Below are 18,590 nucleotides of genomic sequence, written 5' to 3' on the forward strand. Positions count from 1 at the left end.
ACTGCCTGTGAACATTGTGAGAGACCAAAAATGACAGGGAAGGAGATGAAACTAAACTGAAGGAGACTAAAGAGAGATGACAATGACATGTAATGCGTGGTCCTCATTAAGTACTGATTTAAACAAACAGGTTAATTCTATCTAAAAGATATAATTTGGAATAACTGGGGAAATTGGAACGTGGATGAATATTAGATCATTGCTGTCTTAGCTGAGGCTGCCATGATGGAATAGCAGGGCTGGGACTTCAGCAGCAGACACCTAGTTCTCCGGGTCTGAGGCGGGACGTCTGAGATGAGGCCAGCTGCCAGCCGGGCTGGGTTCCAGCAAGGGCTGTCTTCCAGGCTTCCAAACCACCCAGTCCTCGCTAATGGAAAGAGAGAGAGAGCTCTGGTCTCGTTCTCTTCCTGTAAGGGCACTAATCCCATCATGGGACCCACCCTCACGCCCTGGTCTAAGCCTAATCACCTCCAAAGACGCCCCCTTCTGATACCATCACACTGGGCGGCAGGACTTCAACATATGAATTCAACACATTCAATCCATAACAATTACAGAGAATTGAGAAGAAAAGTGAAATCCTAAGCCTCCCAACCATCTGAGCAGACCCCTCTTGGCCAATGGGACCCTAGAGAAACCTTGGGAGATGAGTTCCCACCCACAGCAGGACAGGAGGTTGGACCTGCCTCGTCATATGCCTCCCTCCCTCATTAACTGCCACCGGGCTGCCTCCCTGAGGGCGGCAGAGAAACCAGCTCTTCCAAAAGACTCTGCCCTGCTTACAACCAATGCTTGACCTGCCCCCACCCCGCCCCGCCCCGCCCCGCCCCGCCCCGCACCCCTTACAGGTTTGACACAGCAACTCACCTGAGTTCCTTCCTGATAGGAGAGAGACCACGGATCACAGAGAGTTTCTGGTCAGTCTGCAGGGGATGCACGGTGAGGGTTTTTGTGTCCTTCGCTTCACCTTTTCACATCAGAGGGTAGAAAAGTCCACCCTCAGATCATGCTGCCATGTCTTGAGCATGGGTCCCATGGAGAGGTAGGAAGCTCAAGTGCACACGCATACATTTCTCCTCTCATAAATATTCATGACTCCTCCTGTAGTTCACTGAATATGCATATTTGGCCACCCTACTCACCATAACCCCTTGTCTAATTCTTCCCATTCTCGAAATGTCTGTTTCCTGCTTCTGACCTGAGGCTATGCTTCCCAGCCTGTCAGAATGGCTGCCCAGCAGGCTGCTACCATTTTTATGAGAAACAAAGCTCTCCTTTCCAAACTTAGGAGCCTAACCATTCTTCAGTTGACAGTATCAATGTTAAATTTGTCAGGTATGGGATTTTTCAGAAAACTGAAATAGAAATTTTCAGGTTAGTGGGGTTAGGTAGGAGAGTGTCCTGGGCTTTAGTGGATACTTACAGGAAACTCACTTTCAAAATGTATATGGACAGGTAGAAAGCCATGTAGCAACATGTTGACCATCCGTGAATTGGGGAGAAGAGTAGATAGCATTTATTCTATAGGTTTGAAATTTTTCAAAAGAACAAGTCAGATAGAAAGAAGTAGGGCTCTACCTGGAGTTAGATTATGAGTTGGTTAATTCTCCCATCACCCCCAGGGCCTATGTGTAACAGAGCCCATCACCCACTTTTCTCCCCGATCAGAGTATCTGGGGCTGTCCAAGGGTACAGGACCCTGCAGAGAGCAGGGCTCAGGCAGGGAAAGTGGGAAAGAGACACTGGAGGACCTGAACTGGAGGCCAGCATGGATTAAGCTGGGTTGATCCGGCTCAGGGACAGGCAGAAGTGGCCCCCTGCGACTCTCTCTCCCGCAGGCCAACCTACGGCTTATCCCAGCCCAGGCCAGCAGATCCCTGCAGACTCAGGGGCTGAGTGAAGGCATATTTATGCTCCTGGGATTCAGGGCTGTTTGTTAGGCAGAATTATCATGCCTGTAGGTAACTGGTACAGAGTCCCCTCTGCTACCCAGATCATAGACACTGCCACAGAGCCCCACTTGCCCACCCAGGGCAGGAACTTGGTGGGGGAGGTCTAGTGCCCTGCCCGGCCCCCAGCCCCTCAGCACCTGCCTCCTTCACACGGCTCCTCACTCACCATGCCTCCTGCTGATGTTTACTGAGCACCTGCTCTGTGCCGCACATGCCCAGTGCCAGCACTGTTCTCCACACAATCACACTCCACGCCTATTGGTCCTGGGAGGGCTGGTGTATCATCTCCTGAGTGACACAGCAGACGGACAGAGGTGTGGGGCATCTGTTTCTCTGTAGGAATGCCATTCTTTCTCCCAACAGCAATGATGATCAGGAGTGGACGAGGTCTCATAAGCCCTCCTGCCTCTCAGCCTCAAAGGGCACCCGGGACTAGCACAACACTGAAGGGCGGCTCACGCCACAGCACAGGCTCCCCTGTAGGGAACTGTCGAGGGTGTCTGTGCCTTCTGTATGCCTAGCCATGCACGCATCTCTCTTTGTAGAGATCTGAGCATTTGGAAAGATTAGAAATCACAAACTAAAATAGCTAGGGCAGGCATTTCTAGGGGGTGGGGTTACAGGTGACTTTTATTTGCTTTCTCATAGTTATGTGTGTTTCCAGTATTCTCTGCAATGAACATGGTATCTTCTAAATCAGAAACAAAACGATGGTTTTATAGAGAGCAGGGAGGGAGACTATGCATGGTGCTCCAGCCTGGGGGTGGTGGGGCTGTCTGGGGAGGACAGCACCAAGACATTCTGTCCTTGAGTCAGGCTTCTGGCCACGGCACCCCAAGTTTAGGGAGAAGAGGAGCTTTGGGGAAGAACCCCGAGGGTCGAGGCTTCAGTCCTGGCTCTCGCCTGCCCAGATTGGGAGCTGGGGCAGGGCCCATGGGTCCTCAGCCTTGGATCCCCCTCTGTAAGATGAGGGGCTCATCCCGCCCTGCACAGACCGCCAAGGGGTCCTGATCACCCACAGAGGTGTCAGGGAGTCCTGATCACCCACGGAGGTGCCAGGGGATGCTGATCACCCACAGAGGTGTGGCCCCCACACCTCATTTCAGGAGCAGCAGGAGCCAGCACCAGTCGCTATGGGCTTTGTGTCCAAGCACTGCTGCTAGCATGCAGGAGGGAAGCTGGTCTCACCCGTCCACCAGCCTGGCTTGGGTTGCACAGACAGCCCGGCACTTATTGCTAAGAGACAGCAGGTCAGCGCTTCCCAGGGTTGTGCTGTGGTGTTGGAGGGAGTTAATGAGATAAATAAAATAAACACCAAAATAGAAATGTGTGCCCAGTCGGGAACCAGAGAGAAGTGGGTTCTGTCGGTGCTGAGCGCTCGCTGCTGGATCTGGCAGGCTGCGAGGCTCCCGTGCGTCTGCAGGCTTGCATTTGAATCATGCATGATTGTAGGTAGGCTGGGCTGCTCCTCAGGCACTGGATCGGGGGAGAGACCAAATACCCCGTGTTTTATTCTGTTCCTCCACAATGTGCTTACTTGCTCCCTCTGCCAGAGAGGAAGGGACCTCAGTGAGTATTTGGCCTCACCTCCTGTGAGTTTCACCATCTGTAGATGGGGAAACTGAGGCCCAGGGAGCTGGTGAGATTCTTCCCTGAACGGTGGACAGGGTCAAGTGAACAGCCGGTGCTGGAGTCAGGTGGAGCTGGTTTGAATCCCAATCCAGCCACTTCTCAGCGATGTGATCTTGACCTAGCCCAGATGATAAATCACACAATGGCTCTGAAGCCTGGATTTGAAGTTAGAATCAATGAAACGCCACCAACGCCCAACGCCCAACGCCCAGCCCTGGGGGTGCAAGGTGGGTGCACACAATTCTTTACCACCTTTTCTAGGTCACAGAGCCTCAGGGCCCTGACCCTCCCCCCTGGCAGGCCCTCCTGCCTGGCCCCTCACTCACCTTCCTCCTTCAGGAGTCCTTAGTGGTCTCTGAAAGGGACATTTTCCAAAGGGGCTCCTGCACTCTCAAAGCAGCTCATTGCCAAACATGAGTGCCCATTCACTGAGTGCCCTCCCGTTCGAGGGGTGCTCAGACCCCAGCGCCTGGACCCTTTCCCACCTCCACTCCCGTCCACCGGCCTCCCAGGAGTTCCCCCACAGACCAGTCACGTGCCGCTTTCTCAAGACCTTTGCACCTGCACTTCTGCTGCCCCCAGCATCTCCATGATGCCCTTGCTCTCGGCCTTCAACTGTTGCCCTGGCAGGGCCATCTCCCAGTGTTCCAGCGCCCACACTTCCCAGCCCAACCCCTGCCTGGGAACTCACATTGCCCACTGTGTCCCCGCTCTCAGGGTGTCCACTGTCCCATGGGGCAGGCTGCCTCGCCTGTTTTGTTCACTGCTGTCTCTCAAGTGTCTAGAACAACATCAGCGCATTGTAAGTGCTCGATAAACAGTCTCCCTTTTGGAAAAAATATGGACACGGACGAAGGCAAATATAAGGAGTGGAGCATGGTGTGTGAGCTGAGCCCGGGCAGCTGCCCTGCATCTGCAAACACCAAGAGGGACTCGGAAGCAGAGGATGATCATCAGCCATGGGGACCTGAAAACACCCATGTTCTAGCAAAATTAAAACAACATGGGACAGAGTTTTAGAATCAAAGGACAACAAGTATCACCCCAGGCACTTATTGCAGGAGTGAGGCAGCTGGGTGCCTGGGTTCAAAGCCCAGCTCGCCATGTCCTGTCTGCAGGACCCAGGCAAGTTGTTTGGAGTGTTTGTGCCTTTGCTTCCTCATCTGTGATGGGCGTGATAATCCTCTCCTTTTCAGGGCTGCCATGGGGGCAGAGCCAGGTATGTGTGAAAGGCCCAGGCCACCATCATTGCTCGCCCTTGAGACAGGGAGCCCCTGAAGGCTGGGAGCCCATCTGAGTCCTCTGTCCATGCACATGGCTCTAGGGAGCTGGGCTGGACCCTTCGCCTTCCCTAAAGCAGCACAGCCTCAGCCGGAGTTCATGGTGAGGCTGTCCCTTCCAAAGCCAGCTCCTGATTCTCCCCCCGACATGCCTCAGCTCCTCCTCCCCAGTGCCTGGGTCTTGGGACTCAAGGAAAGAGAGGTGGGAAGTCTGGGGCCACCAGGCCTGCCCCCATCACAGCTGCTGCTCTGCAAGGACTTCCAGGAGAGCAGCAGCCCCGCAGCAGGTCAGTCCTGCTGGATCCGTCTCCTCTGGGAGGTGCAGCAGAGGTAGAAGGGCAGCAGCTGGGGTCCCCTTCCTGAGAGGCCCACAGCTCTCCCAGGCAGGCTCCTTCTGAGTGTCTTCCTTTGACCCTCTCCAGCTGAGAGGCAGTTGGTCACCAAGCAGGTGCAAGGCCAGGAGAGGCCACCGGGCAGGGCTATGACCAGAGGGTAACGTCTATCCAAGTCATCTGCCAAGTTGGGGCAAGGTTTTTCTCAAGTGGAAGAGGGATGAAGGATCAGTGCGCACTCCCCTGCTGCTCCCAGCCCCCCTTGCAGAATGGATGGCTATGTGCCTGTGGGGGTGCCTTCCTGGATGAGTATAAAAATAGACTGGAGAAGGAGCTTCAGGGGTGCAGGGTGCAGAGCTGTAGGCATGCAGGGTGCAGGGTGCAGGGCTACCACTGTATACTAGGCACAGGATAAATACTGGGGCTCCATCTTGAGGGATACATTCACCTGGCGCCTGGTGCAGGGTGCAGAGCTGTAGGTATGCAGGGTGCAGAGTGCAGGGCTACCACGCAGGGGTGCAGGGTGCAGAGCTGTATGCATGCAGGGTGCAGGGTTATGGCGCAGGGGTGCAGGGTGCCGGGGTTCAGGGTGCAGAGCTGAAGTAGTGCTGGGTGCAAGGGTGCCAAGATGCAGGGGTGCAGGATGCAGAGCTGCAGGGGTGCAGAGATGCAGGAGTGCAGGGGTGCAGGGACTGCAAACTGACAGCCCCATGTCCCTCCTACTCTTCACCTCTGTCCTCTTGGTTTGCTGAGCATCTTGGGAGACAGATCTTGGTGCCGTCTGCTTGGGCTAGTGATGTCATTTCCCTGAGACTCAGCTTCTTGCTGTAAAAGCGGTGATTGCAGAGTGTGGCTCCGGGGCTGTCAGCATTGTGTGTGGTTGTAATTAGGTATTGATTCAGTAATTTGGGGAATTAATTAATTAAATCGGCGTGGCCTCAGTGTAGCAAAAATTAGAGGATGGAGGGTGGAGAGAGACTCAACAGCTGTCTGCTTTTCATGGGACAGCTCAGGGGTGGCAGAGAGCCCCCAGCCTCAGGCACTGCACAATTCCCATGCCTCTGCATCAGTGCTGTGCTCCTGTGTGACAGGCCAGCCCTCGGTGTGTCTGCACCACCATCTCCCTGACTCTCTCAGCCCCCTGGTTCCCTCACTCCCACCCAGTACAGTGTTTCCTCCACCCCATGCCTGTGCATATGCTGTTCTGCCTGCTGTTCCAGTCCTACAGCTCCTTCCTGAACAGTGCCACCTCCAGGAAGCCCTCCTGGCTGCTGCCTCTTTTCACTGTTTTCCTCCATTACAGCCTTTTCTGAAGGTACCTTCTTGTTTGCATTGTATGGCTCCCTCCACCTGCTGACCCAGGAGAGGCTCAGTTGCAGGTGAATTTCCACAACAGGACTAGGAAGGCTCCATCCCCCACAGCTTCACATCTGCACCTGCCTCAACAGAGACCAGTGCTAGAGCAAGAGAGGCTCGGGGAGCCCAGAGAGAGCCCTGCGATGCTAGACTGGGGGTCTGGACTGCCCCAGCTGTGCAGCCAGTGGCCAGCAGTTAACACACAGCCAGTACCAGGTGAGTGAAGGGAGCAGTTTGCAGCCACCTGCACTGTGTGTGCTCCAGCACTGTCTGGGCCCGAGGCATTCCTGGGGCTGCTTAGGGGATGCATCCACCTGGCGCCTGCTGTATACTAAGCACAGGCTAAACACTGGGGCTCAGTCTTGAGGGATACATTCACCTGGCGCCTGCTGTATACCAGGCACAGCTAAGCACTGGGGCTCAGACTTGAGAAATACATCCACCTGGGTGCCTGCTGTATGCTATGCACGAGCTAAGCACTGGGGTTCAGTGTTGAGGGATACATTTACCTGGCACCTGCTGTATACTAGGCACGGGCTGAGCACTGGGGGTCACTGTTGAGGGATAGATCCACCCAGCGCCTGCTGTATACTAGACATGGGCTAGCCACTGGAGCTCAGGCTTCAGAGATACATCCACCCGGTACCTGCTGTACATTAGGCATGGGCTTGAGGGATGTACACTAGAGCCCTAGGCAGGTGCACTAGGGCTGAGGCTTGAGGGATACATCCACCTGGCACCTGCTGTATACTAGACATGAGCTAAGCACTGGGGCTCAGTCTTTAGGGATACATCCAGACGGTGCCTGCTGTATACTAGGCACAGGCTAAGCACTGGGGCTCAGTGTTGAGAGATACATCCACCTGGCGCCTGCTGTATACTAGGGATGGGCTAAGTACTAGGGCTTAGTCTTGAGGGATACATTTACCTGGCACCTGCTATATACCAGGCACAGTCTAAACACTGCGGCTCAGGCTTGAGTGATATATTTACCTGGCTTCTAGGCACGGGCTAAGCACTGGGGCTCAGTTTTTAGGGACACATTTACCTGGCGCCTGCTGTATACTAGGCACGGTCTAAGTACTGGGGCTCAGGCTTGAGGAATACATTTACCTGGTGCCTGCTGTATACTTGGCATGTGCTAAGTACTGGGGCTCAGTCTTGACGGATACATCCTCCTGGCGCCTGCTGTATACTAGGCACAGGCTAAGCACTGGGGCTCAGTCTTGAGGAATACATTTACCTGGTGCCTGCTGTATACTGGCCACAGGCTAAACACTGGGGCTCAGTCTTGAGGAATACATTTACCTGGTGCCTGCTGTATACTGGCCACAGGCTAAACACTGGGGCTCAGTGTAGAGGGATGCATCCACCTGGCACCTGCTGTATACTAGGCATATGCTAAGCATCGGGGCTCCGTCTTCTGAGCTGACAAGGCTGAGCGCCTGGTATGTGCTGAGCACTGGGCCGCTGCGTTTACCCACTGGGGTGAGCGGGTGAAGCAGCTGGAGCCCCTCTGTGTGGCAGTGGCCGGTTCCTAGCACCATCACCCATGTTCAGCTAGAGGTCTAAGAGCAAGCTGGTAATGCCCTTTCTTGCGCTATTATTCAATATGCCTCATCCCCAATTTCACACACAAACACCTTGGGGTGGAGTTGGCCCTGGCTTCTAGAAAGAGCTCCTGGCGAAAGCACGAGGTCAGCTCCCCTTCCCCCCATAGCTCCCCGCACCCCCAGAGCGTGGAGGCTGGGTCCTGCCTGATTCTCCGGGTTGCATGCTCCTCCCTGGCATTGCTGAGTGCCCAGCACTGTGCTCCAGGGACCTGCCTGGGGAGGGGAAGCCCTTCTCATTCATTCACCCCACAGGGCGTGACTGTGCGCTGGCCACACAGACAGATAGCGCCAGCTGGCCTCGGGACGCCCACAGGTCCCTGGAGCCAGTGACTGAGGACTGTGGTCCATCAGCAGGCATAGTCAGGCTGTGTCTTCAAACTAAATCCAGACGCTGACCGGTTCCGTCACCTGCACCGCCGCCTCCCTGGCTCACACCCGCGTCCTCTCCACTCTGGGATGCTGCCAGTCTCCTGCGGCAGTTTTAAAAGGTGGCTGTGCATGTCTTGCAGCTCCTCCTTGACAGGTGTGGTCGAATCCCCTTCCCCTTGAATCTGAGCCGGCCTTGAAGCCTGGCTTGGAACCAGTCGCCAGTCGCATGTAGCTGGAGAGCAGCTGTGTGACGTTCAGGGCTAGGTCCGAAGACGCCTGGCAGCTGCTGTGTTGGTCTTTGGGAACATGGAGCGCCCAGGCTCCTTCCTGCAATGCTGCCCCCAGACCTCGAGCTGTGAGAAGCTCCAGCCCCAGGCAGAGGCCCATGGTGGGTGCTCCCGTTCTCGGCCCCACGAACTTCCCATCTGATGAGCAGGAGAGCTGCCCGCCACGTGACTGTGCCACTGTGGACATCAAGCTCAGACGAGACTTCAGATGACCACAACCCCACTGGACACCTGGCTGGAACCGCGGGAGGGACCCCAAGCAAGAACCGGCCCCTCGAGCCTTTCCCGAACTCTTGACCCACAAAACAGCGACCCACTAAAAAAGATGGGTGATTCTCAACCACTGTGCGTTGAGGAGTCACAGCAGACCAGCCTCCCTGTGTCCAACCCGGAGCCCCTGCCGGCTATTTAACCCTGAAACCGGGGGGCAGCCACTGTTTAATCCTGAAGCTGGGGGGCAGCCACTGTGTAACCCCAAAGCCAGCAGGGCGGCCACTGTGCTTCGAGGAGTCGCAACAGACCAGCCTTCCTGTGTCCACGCTGGAGACCCTGCCGGCTGTTTAACCTCGAAGCCAGGGGAGTCCTGTGAATCCTGTACAACGTCCGTGGGATTGCACCTCCTCCGTTGAAGACCCAACACTGGACTTGTCTCACGCAGAATAAAGCCGAAATCCCCACCATAGCCTGGGGTCAACAGGGGCTGCCACCCCACCCCGAAGGGCTCAGGTCCCTCCCTCTGCTGTGTGGGGGTGGAGGGGAGAGGTGGAGGCTGTGCTCACGGGGAGCCCAATCAGAAGGACTCCGCATCTTGAGGCTAGAAGCGGGCGACGGCGAGGGAGGCCCCAGCATGGTGCCTGGGCCTTGGATTTGGGACCCGGGGTTGGGGTGACCCATTTGCCGAGTGCCCCTTGAGGTGACAGCATCATCGAGGGAGGTTTCTTTTGGGACAAGAAGGTGAGGGGGTCGAGGATCCTGGGGACGTAGCCAGTGATGGAGGACGGACCCCAGAGGCCTCAAGAAGGCTTTGGAGAGCAGGGGATGAGACAGGTGGGGACCCAGAGAGTCCTGGGACCAAAAAGGGGTGAAGAGGGGCGGAGCATGGGTTCCAACAGTGATGAAGGCCTCAGGGAGAGGAGTCCAGGGAGCTCGGTGTGGACGTGGCAGGTGGCAGGGCCAGCTGTGTGGTGGGAGGAGCAGGCTTCCCTCTGACCTTGTTGGAGTTTGTTATGAGCGTGCACACTCTCACACACTCACACATGCACACTCTCTTACACACACACTTACACTCACACCCACACTTACACTCATACACATGCACTCACTTTTACACACGCAAACTCTTACATACACAGTCTTACACACATTTACACACATACATCCTTATGCACTTACATATACACACACAGCCTTACACTTTCACATACAATCTTACAGTTACACTCACACACACATACACATTTTTACACACATACACATTCTTACATTCACACACAAATACACACTCTTACACTCATGCTAAGTCTTACACACACTCTTACATGCTTACACTCACATGCTTACACACATACTATTACAGTCACACATACACTTACATTCACATGTGCACACTCTTATGCACACTCATACTGACGCACACACATCCTTACACTCACAGTCACAAATACACACTCTTTCACATCTACGCTCTTACTCTGTCACACTCTTACACACACATTCTTAACACTCACATGCATGCAGTCACTAAACCCAGAAAGACTGCTGGTCAGTTGCCCCAGGGCTCCGGTGGCTGCTGAGTTGGGGCTCCGACCTCAGGCCCCTGCCACTATGCCACACATTCTCCTGCGGGTCAGAGGCCCTTGTCTGATCCACAGTGGATGGAGTTTCCTCTGGACAGCTGCCCACCCAGCGTCCCTCCTCTTTCTGCCCCCACTGCTGCCCGTGCACCCCTCAGTGTCAAAGCAGACACAGAGCTGGCTCAAGAAATCCTGGCTATTCCCGACCCCGACAGCTCCAGTGACCACCACTCACTCATGGCTTCCTTTTCAAGGGCTCGGAGCTAATGCGCATTGCGGGGCTGGGCCATCGCCTCCTCCCCCAGTGTTGCTCCCATTTCCCAGAGGAGGAGGCGGGTTGGGCGGAGCTGCTGCCTGCCTGGGTCCGCCCACTCACCCCACCTGCCTCGGCCAGTGCACCTCTCTGGCCCTCCGATGGTTGATTGCTGGGCCATTGTTCCGAGGGGGAAACATCTTCGCGTTTCATTTCCTCTCCATTGTAGGAGGACGCAGGCCCTTCACAGCCGCAGGAGCAGGCCCGCCCCCAGGCTGTGCTGCTGGATATTAAAGCTGCCACCGTCTGGGCTGGAAAAGTGCCGATGAGAACACTTCCTTTAATGAGTCCAGCTTCGGAGAACAGCCCAGACTGTGGCTCCCCGTGGAACCCAAGACCATGGGAGGTTGCAAAAGGTGGGGGTGGGGAGGGAGAGATGGGGGTGGAAGCTGGCACAGCCTCCCCCTGTCCCCACACCCCACCCCGCTTGGGTGGCCTGGGAACTGCGGCCCACCTTGGCCCACCCTGCAGGGCTGGCAGGGTCTGCTCCCCTGTCCTCCACCAATGCCAGAGTCCCAGGCACAGCCAGCACTCTTGTCGGGCATCTAGGTCCCAGCAGGCCCCACCCCTCTTTCTCGAAGCAGGGCCAGATTTAGTTGGGTGTTCTCCATCCCCTGCCAGTGACTTCAGGAAGGGACCATCTGAGAGCAGGAGAGGCCACTGGGCAGGGCTATGACCAGAGGGTAACGTCTATCCAAGTCATCTGCCAAGTTGGGCCAAGCTTTTTCTCAAGTGGAGGAGAGACGAAGGGGCAGCACACACCCCTCTGCTGCTCCCAGCCCTCCTCGCAGACTGGATGGCTATGTGCCTGTGGGGGTGCCTTCCTGGGCGAGTATAAAAATAGACTGGAGCAGGAGCTTCAGGGGTGCAGGGTGTAGAGCTGTAGGCATGCAGGTCCATCCACAGGGTGGCAAATGGGAGGGTCTCCTCTTCTCTAAGGCTGAATCACACTCTATTGTGAATATACGCCCCGGTTTACCATCTGTCCATCGATGGACACTTACCATGGTGAGTAGTGCTGCAGTGAACCTGGGAGGGCAGACATCTTTACGAGGTGGCGATTTGATTTTGGGAGTATACACCCAGACGTGGGATTGCTGGGCCCCAGGGTGGTCCCCTTTTTAATTTCTTTAGGTCCCCTGCTCTGTTTGCCGTAGCGGCCGCAGCATTCCACATTCCCAGCTGCAATGTCCAAGGCTCCCATTTTCTGCAGGCCCTCGCCGCCCACATCTCCTGTCTTTTTCATGGTAGCTGTCCTAACAGGCGGCCAGCTGATCTTTCTTAAATGCAACTATCTCTAGGGGGTCCACACCTCACAGCCTTGCCACAACCCCCGGAAAGCTCGCACTGTCAGAGTTACACCAGGATGGCAGGGCCCCGGTGGGCAGGGTTTGGGGATGAAGCTGGAGGGTCGCAGGCAGCTGTGACTAAGCGGAGGCCGCCTCTGTGTGGGTCAGAAAGGGGACACAGGACCCCAGAGTCCTCGTGTGTCAGGGTCCCCAGGGGTCCCTCTGCCTGGCATGCAGGCTTCCTGGTTTTGCACTTGAGATGGGAGAGAATGGGAACCATTCCCGCCCTGGGGGGTCACAGCTCCGCGTGGAGCCGGAAGCCTCTCATCTGCAAGCTCCAACATGAGTAACGAGGCCAGGCACGTTGGAGATCAATCTTCATTCCTGTGATTAATCCACCGGCTTGGACGAAGCTGATTCTGCTCTGCCAAGAGGGTCAGCCCTGTCTCCCGCCCGCGCTGACACCTGCCCTGCAGGCCACTCAGTGAGCAGCCTGCACTTGGCTCTGACTGCAAGGGATGCCCCCCGGGAGGCCAAGGCCATGGGCATCCGCGGCCCTGGGCTGGGTGACAGGGGTATGACAGAGCCCCCGGGAGCGGCCTTAACAAGGAGAGCTGCCCGATCCCACACCTCCTTGCTGTGCGACCTTGGCAAGTCACTCAATCCCTCTGGTCCTTACGGCTTCTCCTGAAAACCAAAAAGCATAAGCCCTGCTGGCCTCCCAGGAAGCAGGTGACACGTGTGCCCAAAGGTCACAGGTCACTCCCCTCCCACCTCCCTGACCCCACTTCTGACCAGAGTCAGCCCTTACCCCTCCCCGGGGAGCACTGGTCCAAAGCCCCTCATTCTCCAGGTCTGTTTCCTGGTCTCTAAAATGGGAGTACACCCAAGTGCTGTTTGTTTCCTTGTTTGTAGGATGGGAACAGCCTGGGTTTTACAGCAGCCGTCTCCGGGAGCCCGAGCTGGAGCAGGAAGAGGCCCGGCCGGGACTCTGCAAGGCGTGGGGTGCAGGTGGTTCTCCTTTCCTGGGGTCCCCGCTCTAGGGTTGATATGGCCTCCCTGAGCTCCAGGGAGATCACAGCTGAGTGCTGAGCCCACCTTCCGGCTGTGGCGGCGGGGCCACCCAGGCCCTGTGGAGGGGCCTGCACTCCGTCTCTGCCTCCCACCTCCCTGCCTGGGCCCAGGTAGCCACGGTCCAGGGGCAGGCCAGATGAGTGTCTGGGGTTCCAGCCTCCCTGCTGCCGGGCAGTGCTGCGCTGTGCCGGCCGTGCCAGCGTGGGGAGGGGGCCGTCATGGCTCTCAGCTCCTGCAGCCCATGGCCCAGAGGCTACCCTCACCAGGGCAGGCTCCAGGCCCTGAAGACACCCCTCTCCCTCCAGGGCAGCCTGTGCCAGCTCTGAAAGCGCCCCCGCCCCCCACCCACTGCCTCGGGGAGGTCGTCACAAGGCTTCCTGTGCAGGTACTCACCGGGGCGGCAGGAGCACAGGGCTCCATCTGCCCACAGGAGAAAGGAGGGAGCAACTTCGCCTGCCCTTCCCTGGGGGAACACGGCTGGAGCTGTGGCTGTGATGACTGGAGCTGTGGCTGTGGCTGTGACAGCTGGGTGGCAGGTCCAGGCGTCCCACCCAGGGTACTGTCCTCTGCATCCAGTCCAGGCAACACAGAATAAGCATCATGCTCCAGAGGAGGTAGCCTGCCTGTCCTTCAAATCCCTCTCCTGAGGCCCATCCTGCCCTTATGCTTGTCTTATCCCCAACCAGACAGGCTGCCCGTGCCACTCCGATGCCCAGCACCCACCAGCATAGCCACCTGGAGTTGTTTCCCCAAGCTGCAGGCCACTGTGTTAAGGGCCAGTCAGAGCTCATTTGGACAGGAAGGTTTTCTACACATTACAGCTCCCAAGCTGAAAGAAAGTTGTGAAAGCTGGACAGGTGGACATGGGTGGGAGAGGTGACACGGGTGGGACAGGTGGACACAGGTGGGAGAGGTGACACGGGTGGGACAGGTGGACACGGGTGGGACAGGTGGACACGGGTGGGACAGATGGACACGGGTGGGAGAGGTGACCCGGGTAGACGTGGGCAGGAGGGGCAATCTGGGTGGACGCTGGTGGGAGGGGTGTAATCTGGGTGGTCACGGGTGGGACGGGTGACCCGGGTGGACGAAGGTGGGAGGTGTGGTCCGGGTGGACACGGGTGGCAGGTGTGATCCGGGTGGTCGCAGGTGGGAGGGGTGAGCTGGGTGGACGAGGGTGGGAGGTGTGATCTGGGTGGACAAGGGTGGCAGGTGTGCCTCAGGTGGAGAAAGCAGCGTGATGCCTGCAGCCCAAATGGAAGTCACAGCCACCCAGGCAGGCAAGAGCTATGCCAGGCTGAGAGATGGAGATTTTGTCAGGAGGGCCAGGAGCATCTTGGGCTGACCCAGAGGTGGGGGTGACGCAGGCCCAGTAGGGGTTGAAGGCGGGGCTGGTGAGCTGGACAGGCAAGGGGAAGGCTGAATCCTGGCTAGAATATTACAACTCAGGTGATAATTATGCCCACTGTGGAGTCCAGATGGGCCCCCGGAGCTCTGGGATCAAGGCCTCATCTTCCCCGGTGAGGAGGAGGGTAGCCCCGAGGGGAGTGGGCAGCTCCATGGGGAGCCCAGGGCTGGGCCTGACTTCTCAGAGCCTTCCTGGCAGGCTGCAAAGGACCTTCAGTCATCCCCCTTCCAGCCTGGCTTGAATTCCCTGAGATGGGGACTCACTGCTAAGCCACCTCCATCACCACGGACGTGGACACAGGAGGGTAAGGCAGTGGTCCAGCGTGGTGGCCCCCATGTGAGGGACAGCAGGGATGGGAAGAAAAACGGCAGGAGAGTGGGGAGGCAGAACACAGAATGGGCTGCGGGAACGGGAGGCCAGCAAGGCTGGGGCCGCTCTGTCTGCTCAGATAGACTCATTCCAACGGATGCCGGCCAGATTCGTGTCCTGGGGCCGCCAAAACCAAGTCCCACAAACTGAAGCTTCAAACAACAGACACTGCTTCTCCCCAAGTTGTGGAGGCCAGAAGCCCGAGATCCAGGTGCCAGCAGGACTGTGGTGGCTCTGCAGTCCCCAGGGAGGCTCCTTCCTGCCTCTTCCAGCCTCTGCAGGCTACAGCAGGACTCTGGTCTCTGCCCCCACTGGCCCCGCACACTCCCTGCCTGTCCATGCCTCTTCCCCCCTTCTAAGGACACCAGTCATGTGGGTTCAGGGCCCACCCTACTCAAACAGGGCCTCATTTAACTGAACCAATTACACCTGCAGTTCCCTGTTTCCGGAGAAGGGCAAATTCTGGGGTTCCAGGAGAGACATGAAATGAGGGGGACATTATCCACCCAGTATACTGGCTGAAGGCCTCAGGGCCTCCTGGGCTGGTCTCAGGGTGGGAGGGAGACTTGGTCCCTGTGGAGGTGAGCAGTCCAGGGCCTTCAGAGCCAGCCTCCACAAACGTGTGGATGAATCAGTGAGGGAGAGGGCTGTGCTGTGGCCCTTGTCCTCGGGGAGTAAGCCTGTCTGTGGTGATGGCCATAGCACCAGGATGCAAGGTAGCAGGTGAGAGGGGCAGGGACACAGGCGGTGCCGCCCATCCTGCCCGGGGAAGTCTGGAAGCCTCTTCGGGCTGACCTGCCAGCCAGGCCTTGGAGGCGAGGAGGCACTGCTGTGAGGACTCTGCAGCCCTTGGCTGGGACATGTCCCCCACTGTGGGCAGCTGCTGCTGCAGACACACTGGCTGTTAAGGAGCAGAGTCCAAGCCTCCTGCAATACGTTCGGGAACTTTCTGCCTTGGAAAACATCGAATCTCTAATATTGTCCCTTTCCTCTAGAAAAGGCACTGGGTACAGAGATGACAAGGCGCTGGCCCTGCCTTCCAGGGGCCCCCAGCATCATGGGGAAGACACCCAGTGACTGGCCAACTCATCTCTGCCTTTCCGCTGTCGGCTGCACAAGTGTGCACCTGCTGTGGCCCCTGGGAAGTCTTCTGTGCTAAAGTGGAAAGGCTTCCAGTGCCTTCACAAAGTAAATGCTGCTGAACGACAGCTGCCTATCTCAGTCCACTTGTGTCGCTACAAAGGATACCCGAGGCTGGGTGATTTATAAAGAACAGAAGCTTACTTGCTCACGGTTCTGCACGCTGCCTGGGAAGCACGGCCCTGGCATCTGCTTGGCTTCTGGGGAGGCCTCAGGAAGCTTCCACTCACGGTGGAGGGGGAGGGGCTGCGTGTGTGGAGCTCACAGGGCGGGAGAGGAAGTCAGAGAAGGAGGTGGGTGCGGGCTATTTTCAGTAGCTGCTTTGTCGGAAACTCAGACAGTAGAATTCACTCCCCAACCCCCGCCCCAGGGCATGAATCTACTCACAGGGATCCACTCCATGAGGAAAACACCTTCCATTAGGCCCCACCTCCAACACTCTGGGATCAAATTGCAACCTGAGGTTTGGAGGCCCAACCATGCAGCTGCCAGCACTGCTCCTGGATATCACCAAGGAATACGGGTCAGTCTCAGTCCTAGAGATAGCTGCTACCCTCAGGGACTCAGCCCTAGCAGTACCAAGGACAGCGGCCTAACCACCAGATGTGCCTCCTGATAAGGTCATTGGAGCATTCGCAGACAGTCTTCAAGCATCCACTGTGTGCCAGGCTCGCGCACCGAGGCCATGCCAGCGGGTGTCATCATGCCAGCTCTTCCCAGGCCTGGGCAGCTGAGACCTGTGCATGCCAGGCCAAAGTCTCCAGCCCCAGATGTGAACCTGGAATGCCCCGGCCCACCTCCTCCTTCTTGGGGTCCCCAGATTCGCTTCCCGAGGACCTCGAAGGGTTCACATTCTCACCATAAGCAGGCGCTCACACCGGGGGCAAGCAGAGGGACAGCAGCCCCCTAGAGGCAGGGCCCAAGGGTCCCATGCACTTCACCCCTGCTGCAGGACCTGGCCTGGGCCTGTGACTTGGGAATGCCACATCATAGAGGTTCTCTGGAAACAAGGAATGCAGACCCCATGACCACGTACCCCCACTCCCCAGATGACCCACTGCAGCAGACCAAACATGGGCATCCATCTCTGAGTGCCCCGCAGTGCAAGCAAATGACGTGTCTGGGTTTGTGTCTCCCCAGAGCTGACTGGAGATAGGGATCTGAGGGTTAATGTGTCCTTGGGAGTCGAAGAGAGCAGTGTCAAGGGCAGTGGGGAGGGAGGAGAGGCAGCCACTAAGCAGGAGAGACCTGCAGCTTCTCAGATGGCCTCCCTGTGGTGGCTGGGTCCTAGTGGGTCCACCTGACATCTTGCCTTTAATTTCCTACAGCTGCCGACAAAGCGCAATAAAGCCGGTGACCTCAGATACAGAGTTTATCCTCTCACCATCCCGGAGGCCAGAAATGCCAGACCAAGGTGCCGGTGGGCCGTGCTCCCTCAGGAGGCCTTGGCGAGGCTCCCTCTTGGGGCCCCAGGTGTTCCTGGGCTTGTGGCTACATTGCTCCCATCCCTGCCTCAGTTGTCACATTCTCCCCAGGTGCCTGTGTCTTCTAACAAGGACATCAGCCATTGGATGAAGCCACCTTAAATCCAGGATGACTTCATCGTAACTTACTGACATCAGCAAAGACCCTATTTCCAAATACGGTCACATTCACAGCTGCAGCTGGTTAGGACTTGAACATGTATTTTGGGGGGACACAATTCCACCCACAGCAATCCCCCTTGGTCCCCACTCAGCCCAGGTGAGAGCCAACCGGCACCTGCACAGCTGAAGCCATGGTCCCCACCCCACCTTTGGTCCCCACATCACGTGGAAAGCTCACGTGCAGGGGCTCTGCTGTCCATGAACTCTCCTCACCTAGTCCTCGCCACAACTCCAGGCCCCAACGCAAAAGCATGGCAGGTCTGCCTGGCCCAGAAGCCCCCTGTCCCCAACATTGTTCTGCCAGCCCCAGGGAGGGCTTCCTGATGTGCCACCAGGGTCCTTCGGCCTGGCAGGCTGAAGCCGGGGCCGGCTGTCACTGCCGCTGTCCTGGATAGCCTCGTGGGCCTCCCCTGTGGTAAGCCAGGGGCTGTCTCGTTGCCCAGTAAGCCCTGGCTGCCCTCCCCTCCACAGGCTGGGCAGGCAACAGAAAAGCAGACTTCAGGAGCAAAAGGCGGAGGCCCCAGACCCCAGCTCTCCCAGAGCAGAATGGAGCAGAAGGGACGGGCCGGTCCTTTATCCCCTGGAGCCAGGCTTCCTGCCTCAGAAATGCTTGGGGCTGCCCTCACACCACGCTGGGCAGCTTCAGGAGACACCGTGTGATCACCTGGTGCTGGGGAACTCGCAGGCATCAGCCCCTCCACTCCTCCCCATTGGGGAAAGGGAGGAGATGGGGCCCA

The 18,590-nt window shown here is 57.3% G+C and overlaps 8 annotated features.

Moving 5' to 3' along the window:
• Positions 1,500–2,218: an enhancer, noted in NCBI's record as "H3K27ac-H3K4me1 hESC enhancer chr4:3854992-3855710 (GRCh37/hg19 assembly coordinates)". NCBI's record gives its function as "activates a minimal SCP1, AML or CMV promoter by ChIP-STARR-seq in naive H9 embryonic stem cells {active_cell/tissue: H9 hESC(naive)}" and the evidence as "EXISTENCE:reporter gene assay evidence [ECO:0000049][PMID:30033119]".
• Positions 2,937–3,654: an enhancer, noted in NCBI's record as "H3K4me1 hESC enhancer chr4:3856429-3857146 (GRCh37/hg19 assembly coordinates)". NCBI's record gives its function as "activates a minimal SCP1, AML or CMV promoter by ChIP-STARR-seq in naive H9 embryonic stem cells {active_cell/tissue: H9 hESC(naive)}" and the evidence as "EXISTENCE:reporter gene assay evidence [ECO:0000049][PMID:30033119]".
• Positions 6,747–7,247: an enhancer, noted in NCBI's record as "H3K4me1 hESC enhancer chr4:3860239-3860739 (GRCh37/hg19 assembly coordinates)". NCBI's record gives its function as "activates a minimal SCP1, AML or CMV promoter by ChIP-STARR-seq in primed H9 embryonic stem cells {active_cell/tissue: H9 hESC(primed)}" and the evidence as "EXISTENCE:reporter gene assay evidence [ECO:0000049][PMID:30033119]".
• Positions 10,234–11,176: an enhancer, noted in NCBI's record as "OCT4-NANOG-H3K27ac-H3K4me1 hESC enhancer chr4:3863726-3864668 (GRCh37/hg19 assembly coordinates)". NCBI's record gives its function as "activates a minimal SCP1, AML or CMV promoter by ChIP-STARR-seq in naive and primed H9 embryonic stem cells {active_cell/tissue: H9 hESC(naive and primed)}" and the evidence as "EXISTENCE:reporter gene assay evidence [ECO:0000049][PMID:30033119]".
• Positions 11,177–12,118: an enhancer, noted in NCBI's record as "OCT4-NANOG-H3K27ac-H3K4me1 hESC enhancer chr4:3864669-3865610 (GRCh37/hg19 assembly coordinates)". NCBI's record gives its function as "activates a minimal SCP1, AML or CMV promoter by ChIP-STARR-seq in primed H9 embryonic stem cells {active_cell/tissue: H9 hESC(primed)}" and the evidence as "EXISTENCE:reporter gene assay evidence [ECO:0000049][PMID:30033119]".
• Positions 12,119–13,060: an enhancer, noted in NCBI's record as "H3K27ac-H3K4me1 hESC enhancer chr4:3865611-3866552 (GRCh37/hg19 assembly coordinates)". NCBI's record gives its function as "activates a minimal SCP1, AML or CMV promoter by ChIP-STARR-seq in primed H9 embryonic stem cells {active_cell/tissue: H9 hESC(primed)}" and the evidence as "EXISTENCE:reporter gene assay evidence [ECO:0000049][PMID:30033119]".
• Positions 13,061–14,001: an enhancer, noted in NCBI's record as "H3K27ac-H3K4me1 hESC enhancer chr4:3866553-3867493 (GRCh37/hg19 assembly coordinates)". NCBI's record gives its function as "activates a minimal SCP1, AML or CMV promoter by ChIP-STARR-seq in primed H9 embryonic stem cells {active_cell/tissue: H9 hESC(primed)}" and the evidence as "EXISTENCE:reporter gene assay evidence [ECO:0000049][PMID:30033119]".
• Positions 16,483–16,996: an enhancer, noted in NCBI's record as "H3K4me1 hESC enhancer chr4:3869975-3870488 (GRCh37/hg19 assembly coordinates)". NCBI's record gives its function as "activates a minimal SCP1, AML or CMV promoter by ChIP-STARR-seq in naive H9 embryonic stem cells {active_cell/tissue: H9 hESC(naive)}" and the evidence as "EXISTENCE:reporter gene assay evidence [ECO:0000049][PMID:30033119]".

This window comes from Homo sapiens, chromosome 4, assembly GCF_000001405.40.
Source record: "Homo sapiens chromosome 4, GRCh38.p14 Primary Assembly".
Classification (NCBI taxonomy): Eukaryota; Metazoa; Chordata; class Mammalia; order Primates; family Hominidae; genus Homo; species Homo sapiens.